The following is a 15014-nucleotide window of genomic DNA, read 5'->3' as shown; positions in this document are numbered from 1 at the left end:
TATTCTTTCTAGCACATTTCACTATTTGACATATGATGGATGTTTATTTGTATATTTGTTTATTTTTTGTTTCTTCCAACTAGAATGTGAGCTCCATGAAGGCAGGAATTTAATATCATTTTCTGCTGAATCCCCAGTACCTGGAAGGGGACCTGGCACATTCTAGGGGCTAAATTGATACTTGTTCAATGAATGGGTGAACAATACAAAGGCTCCAAGCAGATAGTAGACGCTAGGCTGACCTTGACAAGCGGGTGGGATTGAGTTGGGTAGGCATTCCAGGAGGAAGCATTAGCCTAGGCAAAAGCATGGGAGCCAAGTGCAGGAGAAACACAGCTGGTGAAAGGTAATTGAAGGAGGAAGAAATGAGGGTTGGTGGCCAAATAAGGAAAAGAAACTCTCACTCACTTTGTGATTGTTTTGGTCGCCCACCCATCCACCTCTCTCACCTCCTCTTCTCCTCCATTCCAAACATTGCATGTCCCTCAAGGCTCAGCCAGAGTCTTACCTCTGTAATAAACCATCAGGCACATGCTTTGACATCTCATACATTTTGGTGACAGTCCTGCCTTTGTCACTGACAAGCTGTGTGACCTTGCAGGCAGTATTTCTTCTTATAGCCTGTGTGACTCTTACAAGCTGTACTACTCATGTAACTGCTACCTGCTCTCAGCATTTCAGGTCGACTTCACTGATCATGAACTTTTTCAGGACTTGGCCCCAGTTTTACATCAGCATTATGAAAAAACAATTAAAAACAACCCCCAGGATTAGGAGAAATGCAGGGGTGAATCTGATTTTTGGTTCTACCTCCTGTCTAGCTATGTGCTTGGGCAAATCACTTAAACTTGCTGAACCTCAGTGTACTTATCCATAAAATTGGAGTTAAAATACTGTCTTTGTGGGGTTGTTGTGAGGATTAAATGCAGTTCCATTTAAAGTGCTTAGCACAGGGAGGTGCTCAAAATAATTAGATCTTGCCTCCCTCATTGTTAGTTCTCAGTCTTAACCCTCTCCCCTGCCAAAGGTATCCGAGCTCCCAGCAGCATGAATCTTCCCATATGGCCAACTCTACAACTCCCCATAGGCCCTATACCAACCCAGGCATCCAGGGTTCTTGCTAATTTAATGGGTTGAATTTTCAAGCAAACTTAACCTCTCAGAGGGGATCATAAGCCCCATTAATAAGAGGAGGCCTTCTCAGGTCTCTTGTAAAGCAGCCTCGGGTGTCATGTAGAATTTATCATGACAATCCAAATGAGATGGCAAAAGTATATTTCCATTTGAAAACCCCGATTACCCATTTGCTAATGCAAGCTGGCACCGAGGCAGGGGTGATATTTTTATTTATTTGTGGTTCAGTGTTTGTTCTTGTGATGATGTGTTTATCCTTCTTCCAAGGGCTGTTTGGAGCCCATCCAGCAAATGGGGTGCATTCATTTGCTTAGATTCTAATTACATTATAGAACAGCCAGGGATGGCACATTGCAGTTTTTCTAGTCTGCCTTTCTTCCAAAGCACTTGGGAAGGTGGATGGAAGAGAAATGTGATAAAGCAAGTGTCTCTGTTTAGCTGGTAAATTAGGACCAGAGGATGTGAGTGGGGCCACTTTGAGGGTGAAAAAGGCCTAAATCATCCCTTTCAGTTACTTACCATGAAAATACCTCACCTTCTGATCACGTAGGTCAATGGGAGTTCTGTATCTGCAGGTATACCCTGAAGAAAGTACTTCTTTCTTTCTATATTCACATAGTAATTAATAAATCATAATACTTACTGAGCTCCTTTTATATTTCAGGCACTGTTCTAAGCACATTAGTTGCATTACTTCATTTGAACGTCATAAAAATATTTTTAGATAAGTATCTTTGTTATCACCATGTAACAGATACAGAAATGGAAGCATACAGAGGTTAACTTGCTCATGGTCAGTTACTAAATGGTGGAGTTAGGTGTCATAACCAGGCAGAATGGCTTTAAAGCAGTGTTTTTAACTGTAGTAATTTATTAATATTAATATAACACATTGGTGTTTATTATTAATATAGTAATAGATGTATAAACAATTGACAGATAGTTTGATAGATGACTGTAGCCAAGTGTGCTGTTTAAAATTTTTTTTATTTATATATAATAGTTGTACATATTTTTGGGGTATATGTGATATTCGGATACCTACATGCAACGTGTAATGATCAAATCAGGATAATTGGGATGTCCATCACAAGTCTGCCATGGGATTCTCAATTCATTTTTTTTCTTCCTGGCTGCTTGGCTCAGAGTACACTTCCCAGCATCCCTTGCAGTGAAATGTAGTCAGGAGACCAGATACACCAATGGAACAGGAGTAGAAGTAATGCGTGCAACTTCTGTATTCCATGGTTAATAAGCAGTATCCAGTCCTGGACTTCGCCTGTTTCCTCCCACTGACTGGATATGGTTGACAACCGGGTTTGCCTCAGAAGCCTCACATTGAGGTTCTCCCACCCCAGCCTGGTTCCCATGATGGTTTTATGAAGCAGAGGCTGCCTACCTGCCTTGCAGTGTTCTGGGAGAGAGTCATCAATTTCCTGGCCCTTTATGTGATTGAATTGTTGAGTCTCTGTTATGGAGCCCTTACTCCAACTAATATAGTGACTTTTCTCCCCCCTTTCATAGAATCAAATAATTTTTTCCTTTAAAGGTAATCCAGACTAACTTTTGAATCTGTCACCTGATAGAGCACATGCTGAAGACCTTTACTTGTAGATGGCTGACTTCCTACTGAGTCTGCCTATTCTATATTTAAAAGCTCTATTATTAGAATGTTTTCCGAAGTTTAAATTCTAAGCTAAAATGCAATTCACATGCATGGCTCCAGTGCTCCTTGAGGCCATACAAAACAATTGTGATTCCCTGCCCTACATCAAGAGCCTTCCATTTTCTGAAAATAATAGTCATGTCCCATGGATGCTCTCCTGGGCTAAATGTTCTCCATTCCTTCAAGCTTTCTTATAACATTGTTTTGAGATCCACGTACCTACTTCTGACTATACTCCTGGGTGTCTGTGGTCCTGGAAACATAGTGATTCAGGACAAATGCCAGCCTTGCTACACATGTGGTTTGCCCAGCTTGGAAAACAACAGAATAATCACTTCTTAGTTTCTTTTCCACGCTTATTTTCATTCATCTTGATATGAATTCAACAAACATTCTGTGTGTTCCATGATCTTCAGAACTTGCAGATATGGTTTCAGTATATGCTAGGCATGGCTGATTTACTTTGATCCTTCTGAGGCCTGCAGTGTCTTATTGTCCTGTCTGAGGAAAACTGATTGTGGGACACAAGTTCAGGACTTACCAAATATCCTTCTTTAATCCCATACTGTGCCATTTACTTCCCACACTGTCCAGGCAACACTGCTCCCTCTCGATCCTGCCATCTGATATTTTTTCCCAGGAAGATGATTGAGCAGTAGAAAGAGTTTTGACAGAGAGCCTCTAGAAAATAATAAATAAGCTTTAATTTGTGATTCGCCAACCCCAACACTGGCAAGCCACATACCACATCATTTATCATCAACCTAGTATTTAGTTTATGTGCATAAAAAGAACATTTTTAATACCAGAGATGACTTACTTGACCTTGCAAACTGTGTTTCTTAGACTATTATTGTATTTAGTGATGGGTTATTAAAAAAATCATGCCTTATACAATAGAACACCTTTAAGTCTCTAACTTAGGTTTGAATAATTTCCTGATAGGTAGTAAAGGAAACAGTTCAGTTAATCAAAACTAAAGATACTTTAGAGAGTCTGAATGGAATAAATGGATGTGGCATATGAGGGTATTAAAAGTGTCCACAGAAGAAAGAACCCTTTGAGGTTTCTCTTGGAAACACTAATTTCCTGTATACTCTCCCTCTTCAAGTTTATCTCTATAATCTATTTCATCCCACTGTATGTTACTCTTTCTCTCCATCTCCCATTTCCCATCTCCTAGCTTTCACACACACACACACACACACACACACACACACACATACACATACACACAGACACAAGGATGGCCAGAAGGTTGTTTTGCATGGCTACTTTCTCCATACATTTTCAGCTTTGCTTTTAGGTGTCCTTGGTGTTTCTGGTTAGGTATGCCCTGGTAACTCCTGTGACCACTGCCTGTTCAGATCTGACCCTGATGATTCTCATCCCTGGCCAGGTCATTTCTTGGCTTCCTAGTAGAGTAGAGGGTGATGTCTTTATTTCTGACATGCACAGACGTTTTATAGACTTGTCACCTTCCCTGGAACTACTTGGGAGTCAAGAAGATTCAGTAGCTCAGTTACCAAGACTGAGAAAGCACAAGAAATAGATAAAAAGACCCAATATTCTATTATTTCCAGGAAAATTGAAGAGCGATTGGTATAGGAACAGGGTGAGATAGGTGCTTTTGGTCAGGGGCTGCAGGCATATATGTTCTGCGAGGACAAGTGTCAGTTGGCTGAAGCTGCTGTAAGAAAATACCCATAAACTGTGTGGCTTCAACAACAGCCATTTATTTCTCCCAGTTCTAGAGACTGGGAAGCCCATTTGGTTCCTGGTGAGGGCTCTCTTCCTAGCTTGCAGATGGGCACCTTCTTGCTGTGTCCTCTTGTGGTGGAGAAAGACACAGCTCTAGCCTTTTCCTCTTCTTAGGCACTAATCCTATCAATCATAGGGCTTCCACGCTTATGGCCTCATTTGACCCTATTCCCAAAGGCCACACCTCTTAGAAGCCTCACAGTGAAGTTACGGCTTCAACATAAATTTTTGGGACCACAAACATTCAGTCCATAAACACAAGAAAAATAGACCTGCTCTTTTTACATCCCAACTTGGAGTCCCAGCTCTGCCACTTACTAGCAAGAAACATTAATCCTCCAAACCTCAATTTCTCCCTCTATAAAATGGGGCTCTGAGAATTTATGTTGGAGGTCTTTGTGATGTATAAATGCTCAGGACATGTCACTTCCCATCTCCTTCCCTCAGAAGCTAGATCACACTTCTGTTCATCATTTGCCTTTGAGTAATAAGATATACTTTTCCAGGTTAGGCTTATCAGTAAAGTTAGCATTAAACTGGAAGAGTTTTGAGGCCAAGTGTGTGGATAAAGAAAATAACAATATCTTCCCAGTGAAGCTAATTAGAAAAGAGGGCAGAGAGCCCATTTCCTCTGTAAATGCAGTCTCTCAGTATCCACTCACTATCCTCCTAAGTCTTATCAGTGATTTCATAAATGTAAGAAATCAGTGATGAGAAAATTTGAGTGCACTTCCCCACCCCCCTCCCCGGCCCCACTACTAACAAGTTGGGTGTGAATGAAAACTGGGCTTTGTAAATGCCAGGAACAGTCCATGATGACTATGTGATGTCCTTAGTAAAGATTTGTCTATTGAACATATATTTACTTAGAACCTCCAGGTGTTGCATTTTAAGGTGGAGGCTGGAGAGTCACAATTTCAATGGTGAGTAACATAGTGCGCCGTGGCTTCATTCACACAGTTCTCTCTGCCTTGAATATCCTTCCTCCTGACCCCCTTGTCTGCCTGGAAAACTGCTATTCAAAATTGTTTACACATCATATTCTGTCTGATGCCTTCCTCATTCCTCCTAAGTATAATTACTCCCTCCTCTGAGTTCTCATGGTGTGTGCTCATAGTTTCATTTTAATATTTATCACACTAGCTAGTAATGATTTATTACACAGGTCTCTAGGCTCTTGTACAGCAGGGACTGTACCTTAATAATTATCCTTTTGAGACCTTGTATGAGTCTCAATAAACATAGTGCTCAGTGAATGAATGAGTGAAAGAATGACAAATCTCTGTCCTAGAGAAGTCAGGTTCTGGTAGGGAAAGAGCATTTATATTTCATATAGATTCCACAACAAAAATAAATGGCAAGTTTTATTATGCACATTTTACAGATGGGAAAACTGAGTCTTGCAGAGGTTAAAAAACTTGCTAAGGTCACACAGTGAGTAATTAGAGGATTGGGGATTAAAACTGAAGCCATTATTCTTCCCACTTCTCCATGGACACAATTAACTGTGATAAACTGATCTGAGGATTCTGGGAGCCATGTGACCTAAGATGAAATCCACATTCTGCAGAATTGAGAGTGTCATAAGAAGGTTGTAGGTTCTTCCAGGTCTGGGATAGATGGAGGAGGCTCAGAATGGAAATTAAGGAGGTGATGGCCTCTCACTGATCAGAAAATTGAGACTCAGATGGGACTTGGGATTACCTGAAGCAAGGCCATCCACCTCCTGAGGCCAGCTCTGCCAAATTCATCCCCCACTTCCCCCAGGGGTGAGGGCAGCCTGAGAGACCTGAGAAGGAAGGAGAGATCATATTAAATCCAGAATATCTATTTGGTAGAGTGGAAATGCCCTGATGTTTGATCCCATTTACTTGAGTAAGACTTTATATCCAGGCATCTCAGGTTTTAAATTACATGTCAGAGACAATTTTGCTCTCTGGATGTGACATGCAGGGTTGTCCTTCAGGCAAGCCAATATGAGCTTAGTGCTCAGCCTCTCCCTGTCTCCAGGAAGGGAGGCTTCTTGGTTTCATTCATTCAGTAAACCTTTGCTGAGCATCTCAGCAGGGCCAGGCCCTATAGTAAGGGTTGGGCATATAGACAGGAATAAGACATGATTCTTGGTCTTAAGAGGCTCTTAACATGATCATACTAATGGCTACTATTAATCTGTTGATTCCTTCAACATATATTTGTGGTGTGCTTACTCTGTGCAAGGCACTGGATCAGGCACTTGGGATCCATCAGGGAACAGGATAGACAAAAAGCCCTGCCCTGTAGCAGCTTATATCCTAACGGAGAGAGAGACAATAAATAATAAACATGATAAATAAGTTAGATTAGATTAAGTTAGATAATATGCTTGAATGTGATAAATGCTAATGAAAATGGGAAATCAATAAAAGGACAGGGTTGTAGAAATTGGAGTGCTGAGAGTGAGAGAGGGTTGCAGTTGTGAATAGGGTGGTAGGACGACACCTTGCAGCTGATGGCATAAGATGAAAAATGTGAAGGGGGCAGAATGAACCACAGTGATATCTGGGGAAATTGAAGCAGAGGGAAAGCTCTCACAAAGGAGCTTGGATGGAGTGTGCCTGGTGTGTTTTGAGACGCAGCAAGGAGCTCCCTGTGGCTAGAGTAGAGTGAGTGAAGGAGAGAGTAAGAGAGGAGATTAAGAGGAAATGGGGGTGGGCACAGCCTGTGAGGCTCTCTGCACCACTTCCAGGCTGTGGCTTTGATTCTGGGTGAAATGGGGAACTGTATAGAGACATAGACATGCTCTTCCTTACAAGGGGAGAGCTTCACTCTCAAATTCCTCCACAGGTTGGGGCAGAGAGACCAGGGAAGAGGCTGTTATATTATATACTCCAGGTAAGATGACAGTGACTAGGTTAGCTTGGAGCTGTGGAGGTGGTGAGAGGTGGTCAGACTGGGGACTGCAGTCATCATGCTGTGCAATTGATCTCAAAAATGCATTTCTTCTGTCTAACTGAAATTCTGTAGTCTTTGATGTTGGTCATTGAATTCTTAATATAACCCCAGGAGATAATATTTTTCTTTGTTACTGATGAGGAAACTGAGGCTTAGTTTCAGGCCACTTGCCCAAGGTCATGCTACTAATCGATCAATTGTAGAGCTGGGTCTCAAACTCAGTGTCCTTCTGGGATGAACAGTACCATTGGTGCCATTGGTTGACCAGCCTGCGTTGTACCGCATCAACTGCTAAGTTGTGTTGGGACAGAATTTTGGGGGCAGAGGCAGGATTTTTCTGGTAGTGACAGTGCCTTTGAAATCTGGAGGGTTAAAGAAGCACATCCCATTAGTGTGGGTGGGTGAGCATGAGTACTCGATTCCAAAGGAATCCCAGGCTCTACATCAGAGTTAAGGAGAGTTGGAATCAGAACCAGAGAGTGATAGAGGCAGGAAAGGAAACCAGGGTGTGTCGATGCCTCCAGAATATTCTGGTCTTTGTAGCCCAGCCTCTTTCCCCTCTGTCCTCATAAACCTTCCAGGGCTACACTGGTGAGTCTGACACACAGAGTTAGACATTTTATTTTAAATTATCTTCTATATAATTCCATTGGGAGGTCAGCAAAATAGTTTTTGCAGGTTTGGGAAGATTTCCCAGAAGGAAGGGTGTTTTCCAAAGCCCATTGTACGCAACAGGCAGTTAATAGGAACCCAGTGAGACTCTGAGGGCCCCTGAATGCCCTAGCCCAGAGCAGGTAAGTAATAAAAGGTAAAGCAAATGTCCTGTCTACATCTCCGTGCCTTTCTCAGCTTTGGATATTTGTTTCCATGGAAGGGAACTTCTTGTCTTGATCTTACTTCTGAACATGAGGAATCAAGCGGAGCAAGGATGGAGCAACCCAGAAAGCTTTCGTGGCCAGTCCTATTTATAGAATTTTCAAGGTAAAGGGACACTAAATTACAGTTCTCAGCTGATGCATTAATCTCTCCTAGCAATCGTGACATATAGCCTCTTCTTGCATGCTTTCAGTGATAGAGAACTTCTTAGACTACTGATGGAGAAGAGATAGTTTACAGTTAAAAGCAAATAGGCTTTGGAATTAGACAGGTATGGGAAAAAATCCTACTGCCATTCAATACCTGAATCTCTTAATTTTTTAGCAAGTTCCTTGACTTTTGGAGCCTTAAATCTCCCATCTGTGAAACAGAAATGGCTTCCCTTTCTAGTAGGTTGTTGTAAGGATCAAGCCAGGCAGGATAGTTTTATGGTCAAAAGCCTGAGCTGAAGGCAGACTGCCTGAGTTCAAATCTCTCTTCTGCTCAAAACCTGAATATTTCTGAGTGATTTACCTAAACTCTCTTAGGTCTCATGTTGTTTAACTCTAAAATGAAAGTCAGAATACACTATTACCAACCTCATAAGCAGGCTGGGCTGCTGCCAGTTAATACATCACCTGGATATGCATTAGCAAAAGGTCTTCCTTCCTCCAAGTGGACACAGCTCCACACCTGCACTCATGATTCGGCAAGAAGCATGCCTCTCAGCCAAGTGGACCCTTTCCGCAGAACATGCCTGCATAACAGTTCACAGTGACCCTGCTCATGGTGTTACTGCCATGATTAATTCCTGTGAGCCACCCAGAACATTGACTCCTGTAATAAACATTCAACATTAGTAGTTATAATCATGTAAAAGTATCATCTCCTAAGACAGTCCATTTTATGTTGGAGAGCTTGGACTATTTTGTCCCTATACTGTCCGACAAAATCCATCTTCTAACTGCAGATTTCCACACCATGCTCTGTGGCTTCATAGATGAAGTCTAAGCTCTCTTCTGCAACATCACCAGCGGCACTGTTCTTGTAGAAAATTGTTAAAAGGTCCCCAATTCTCCACCTCTCTCTGTATCTGTGGCCTTGGCCATTGGACTTTGCATCTCCTTTGGTCAAGAGTTAGAATCCACTTTCTCATCTCTCGAATCTGGGTTGGCGTTGTGACTTAGCCTTTTGTGCTTCCATTCTTTCTTGGAACTTTGCCACCACCACGTGAACAAGCCCAGGCTAGTCTCCTGGGTGACGGTGGACACATGAGCCACATACCTCCATTGCTTCATTGATAGCCAGGCAGATGCCAGACATGTGAGTGAAAGCATTCCAGACCAGCTGTTCCCCAACTGATGCACTAGATGACCACAGATACAACAGCAAGGCCAGCTGAGATTAGCCGAAGCCTGGCTCACAGACTTGTGAATGAAAATCAACGCTTATTGTTGCATGCCTCTGAAGTTTGGGGGTTATTTGTTATGCTGAAATATTGGGGCACTAGATAACTGATACAGGTCTGGACTTATTGGTGGCTGTGTCCAGACTATGTCCTTACTGCAGATGGAATTCAATCTAGTCCTTGTGATTAATATTTTCCTTTGTCTATGTCCCACTGCCCACCTAGCTCTGCCCTATCCCTGCAGCTAGAGTGATTGTTTGCTCCCCACAATTCTTTCCCTGCCACCTCCTAGATGAGACGGCGGGGACATGACATGTTCTGGAGAAACGCAGCACTGGCCCTGGGGCTTTCTCTTGGCTGGTCTCAATTTCAAAGGACATTTGATTCTGGCACCGCCACACACAGTGCTGGGCTTAATGACATCTCAGTGCTCCCACTGGAAAAACCCTGGTTTTTCCAAGGGTATGTAACTTAGCTATTATGACTCACTCTAGGGTAAAACTGGGCAAACAAGCCTTCCTGCCTGAAGGCAATTTTGATTTTTAAATTATGAAATAAATCATCCTGAGCTTTTATGTTTTTGGGGGGTTGGTTTGTGTTTTTTTCTTTTGCTCCAAACTTCCACTGTAGCTTTCTAGCCTTGGGATTATTTTTCACTTGGCTCTCTTCTCAACCGAACTGTATTTGTTTTGTAAAATGACAAATCACCCCTGTATACTCCAGGCCAGACCTGTACCGGAAGAGCATATGGGCACAGAAGAAGTCAGAAGTAAAGCAACAGAGGTTAGCTTCACTTTACCAGCGGAGCTCAGGGTTCAGCAGGTAGAAGAAAAGGAAGAATTCTCAAGCCATGTAGGTATGAGGACCGGGTTTGAATACACACTTGCCTGATGCTTAAGTCCCTACTGTGGTTGATCTGTTTTTCTTATTATGCCTGGGTATCGGTTTCCTCATTTAAAAAATCTCTCTAGAGTTGTGAAGACCAAACATCTTAAACCTGCAGTTCCCAACCTGTGGGTCAGACACTTCTCCGTGGCTATGGGTTTATTGTTTAGAGGTCTACAGTTGTCTGCAGAATAGACAGATCTGATGTCTCACAAATTCATATGTTCATTTTTTAAAAAATGTATAAAGACTCACCAATGCACATGTGAAATGCTTATTTAATTAACAGGCATAAATTCCATAAATTACTTTAAAGCATCTCCACCTTCATCATAGATTGTAGCCATTAAATACCTTAACAATTAGTGAGTATTAAGTACATCACATCTATCATGGAGGAGGAAATTGGTTACATTTTATTCTAGATTGTGTGTGAAGGAGTCTCTGCACATGAAACCTTCAGGAAGCAATGTTCAGATATGAAAGGAGTAAGGGTGACTGCACATTTGGGCATGGGGAATGTATGTAGGACAAAGTATTTTCCTCTTGGGGATATTGACCAGGTTTGTGGATAGGAATTTAAGGTGGGTGCAAAGGCTGCAAGCCTAGGAAAGCACTAGCAAAATCGTCAATGGCAGGATCCTGATTGACTGGGAACCACAGCCTCCAACCCTAATTATGGTGACAGCTATCCATGTTAAGGAAGACAAGTATCAGTCCAAAACAGGACACAGAACTGGGAGAAGGTGACAGTCTAGCTACTCATTGGAAATTGCCTGTACTGAAGAAGGGACACTGTTCCCAGAGGGCTATGGTTTAAGCAGACATCTCTGCAGAATGTGCATCCTCAGCCAGCCTGCTGTCACGTCATTCAACACCTTGAACCTCCTTCTCCACGTCCTTCCATGATCCCAACAAGTCATCAGCATGCTGATCTCTCACACCCTCTGCTTCCTAGTCTCTGGGGATCCTTTCCTCACCCAGTGTCAGCCATCCACCATTATGGCCCTGCTGTTTCCTGAAGCAGAAATTTAAAATTTTAACACCTCACTTCCCAACCACAACCTCCAGTCATTTCCGTTCTCATTCACATTCTTTTCTCGGAGCCCTCTAATCTTTGACCTTCCACTTTCTTCCTATCCATCAACCTCATCTTGCCTTTCTCTCCTTTTCAAGCCTAACCCCCACGACCCTTCGCTTTGATCTCTCTCTTGCCAATATTTTTAATTTCCTATCTATCTTCATTCTCTTCCTATCTTATCAGCTTATCAAGACTTCCACCTGGGACCACCCATCATTCTGCCCTTTCGAATTCTGAGCTGACATCACCTCTGGGTATATCAATGAACCACACAGACTCAGCCAACAGAAAACCATGGAGAAGAGATCTTGTTATCATTACTGAAATTTTGATTTTAAATGGAAAGTTTGTTTTCAGCCAAGAAAAAGCTGGTGAGAAAGAAGCAAATGAACCAAGTATTTGTTTATGTACTTCACATTACAAGGCTGGTTAAATGATTTTATTCATTAGTAATTAGTCTATTCAACAGCACTGTGAAGTAGGTATTATTGCTCTCATTGTTTATATTAATCAGAGTGACACTAGGAATACTGCTAATAATGGTAACTTGCATTTCTTGGGCATTTTCCCGGTGCTAGGATCTGTGAACACCAAGGTAAATTTCACTCAGATTTGATTTTCAAGTACAGATGAGGAAATTAATGCTCAGTAAGTCCATGTGACTTGCTATTGTCAGACAGCCTGGGCTTGGCCATCTGATTAAAAAATCAGTGGGCTTTGCATAATACTAAGCTGCTATAGGTCATGGGGCTCAGATTGGAGAAGAAATATGAAATATTTCCAAATGTGAACCTGAAAGAGCCAGTTCTTCAAAATGAATCCCAAGAGCCTAACTGAGCCTAAATTTAAAATAGTCAAGCAGTCATTTGCTAATTAGAGGTCACACATATCTTTTAGTTCCCAGAAAACTCATTCCTCGGGTTTAAGGTTGGGACCTTCAGAACTCCCAAATGTCTAATTTGGGAACTAACCAATCAGAGCTCACCTGCCTTGGCCAATCAGGGATCAACTATATCAACCAATTAGAACTAAGCAAGTTTGAATGCTTCATTTGCATAAATGAACCTGATTGGGAACCTGGGTGTGAATTTTCTCTATAAAAGCAAAACTCTCCCTTTGTTCTCTGGATGGCACCTTTCCTTTACATTGAAGGTTGCATCTTCCAAGTTTGCAATCACTTCTCTGGAATAAAGTCTCTTTCCTCAAAATTCCTTTTTAGAGAACTTTTGTTCACATGTGCCCAGGGTAACAAAGCTAGGAAGTGGTAAGCTTGGGAGTTAACCTAGACTGGTTTACTCTCATATTGCTTATGTGGTCAGATTCACCAAATTGGATTTTGTTTCTTCAGATTTTTCTTTTGCTTTTACCAAAGTTACACTGCAGTAAAGTAACTGCTTCCCTTTTTCTCAGACTAAACTTTTTACAGCCCCAATATTTATTTATTGGTGCTTCCAACACACCCTATTATATTCTGCAAATTTATATTCTGCAAATCACTATTTGGTGGATATTTACAAATTCTCTACAAATGGCTTGTATGTGAAGACCTCAGTCATGACCTCAGCCTGGTGGGCACCAGTTCCACTTTCTCAGAGCAGTGGATTTGGGGGCCAGTGTGGCCTCTGTTTGCATCTGAGGGAGGGTGGCCTCGAGACAGATACCTGGGGTGAGAGTTACTGCTGTGGTTTCAGTCCATTTCTTGGAAGATGTCCTGGCTTCTCCAACTGGTGGACTCCTTGTCCTTCCCTAACAACGTGTCTCTAATGTTTGTGTGACTCTGGGTCATAGTTCCTTCTGTTTCATGTACCATGAATGCTGTTTCTTGACTCTTTGCATGTAAAAACTCACTCAAAGCCTAGCTCAAATGTTACATTTATTTTCTGGGTTTTTATAGTCCTTTGACTAACTCTTCACCTTTCTTCATGTGGGCACAGTTTTTCTGAAGTATACAGTTAGTTGAGGAGTGTTTGTCAGTCTCTCAACTTCAAATCTCTGCTACTAGCTATGCAATACTGAGAAGGCCACTTAATCCTTCCATGCCTATGTTTCTGTGTTGATAATTTTGGAGATGATATTTACTTCATGGCTAAGAATGTTATGCAGCAATGTTGGTTGTGAAAGTGCTTGGCAGATTAGAAGGTGTGGTATTCACTGCTGGGTGGCTGATCCAACCTTTATTCCCAATTCTTTCCTCCCTGGCTTCCTTTTACTCTATAGGCTAGAAATGCTAAATGCTCACTCTCCAGCTTCCCTTGCAGCTAAGGCTGGCTATGGAACCTAGGAAGAACCAAAGGAGCACACACGGAGGTCCTCTGGGAGGCTCTGCACAGTGCTTGAAGTGAAAGCAGTTATATGATAGCAATGCAACAAGTTAACACAAAAACAATGATCTCTAGCCTTTTTGTCATGTGATATAACTAATGTCTTTAAGCCACTATTATTTGTGTATTCCATTACTTGTGGTTAAAAAGCATTCCTGATAGTGTAGATTCCCAATAAGTGTTTACTGAATATGAATCTGTATTGCATTGTGAGTCTTGGGGGCAAAATTCAATAAAATTATCATCTCTGCTCTCTACAGTTTTTAGTGTTTGTGTCAGTTTCTCAACGTCAAATCTCTGGTATTGACAAGGGCATTTAATCCTTCCATGCCTCTGGATTGTTACACAGGTGGGCTCAAACCATGTTGAGTGGAATTATATTCTCTTTCTTCCTCCCAATTACGAAACCTGAGTACATCTACCCAATCTCCCTCCTTCTAGTCTTTGCTCCAATCTATCTTATCTTTTCGTACAGACACCAGACTGATGACAACATTTTCTCTTCTCTAAATTCTTCAATAATTCCCCATGGGTTTCACATTAAAGTCAAAAATACATGTATAAGGTGATCAAGTTTCTCAACAACTTAATTCTGATCTACATTTTCAACCTCACCTTGCATTGCATCTTTACGTCCTCAGTGCCACACACTCATTTTTTTTAATTGTCCTTTCTTTAAGCAGACATGTTCCCACATTTTTCCCCAGAACTTAGAATACCTCTGCCTCCTCTCTATTCATCCCAACTACTTCCTTTAAGGTAGAATGAAGCTCTACTATCATATCTATTCATCCTGACCAGCAGGAACGCAGGCTTGCTTTAAAAGGGGTAAGATGGATAGGAGAGACATTAAAAGAGAAAATCAATGGGATGTGGAGGCTGATAATTGAGCCAAAACGAGAATTCAGCCTGATGAAACAGAAAGGGCCAGTGAATAAGTTCATACATTTGCAAGAATTTTTAAAAGGCTAC

The 15014-nt window shown here is 41.7% G+C and overlaps 2 long non-coding RNA genes across 2 annotated transcripts in view, besides 1 other annotated feature; one reads left to right on the top strand and one right to left on the bottom strand.

Annotated features, from left to right (window-relative positions):
* Nucleotides 1-14301, top strand: part of LINC02885 (long intergenic non-protein coding RNA 2885) — a 241252-nt gene extending 226951 nt beyond the window's left edge. The window contains exons 4-5 of the long non-coding RNA NR_138042.1: nt 10479-10611; nt 11905-14301. This is a non-coding gene — a long non-coding RNA (long intergenic non-protein coding RNA 2885). The remainder of the gene's footprint in view (nt 1-10478; nt 10612-11904) is intronic.
* LOC105373014 (uncharacterized) lies at nt 2103-13506 on the bottom strand. The gene is made up of 3 exons (XR_938204.3): nt 6769-13506; nt 6266-6350; nt 2103-3481 (listed from the first exon to the last, which is right to left on the bottom strand). It is a non-coding gene; the product is annotated as an uncharacterized LOC105373014 (long non-coding RNA).
* Nucleotides 9527-10726: an enhancer, noted in NCBI's record as "CDK7 strongly-dependent group 2 enhancer chr22:35156231-35157430 (GRCh37/hg19 assembly coordinates)". NCBI's record gives its function as "activates an origin of replication core promoter dependent on BRD2, BRD4, P300/CBP, MED14 and CDK7 cofactors, with strong dependence on CDK7, by STARR-seq in HCT116 cells {active_cell/tissue: HCT116}" and the evidence as "EXISTENCE:reporter gene assay evidence [ECO:0000049][PMID:35650434]".
* Nucleotides 14302-15014: the final 713 nt, after the last annotated feature.

Source organism: Homo sapiens, chromosome 22, assembly GCF_000001405.40.
Source record: "Homo sapiens chromosome 22, GRCh38.p14 Primary Assembly".
Classification (NCBI taxonomy): domain Eukaryota; kingdom Metazoa; phylum Chordata; class Mammalia; order Primates; family Hominidae; genus Homo; species Homo sapiens.
Note: the sequence above shows the minus strand (reverse complement) of the source record. Positions and strands in the feature narration are given on the sequence as shown.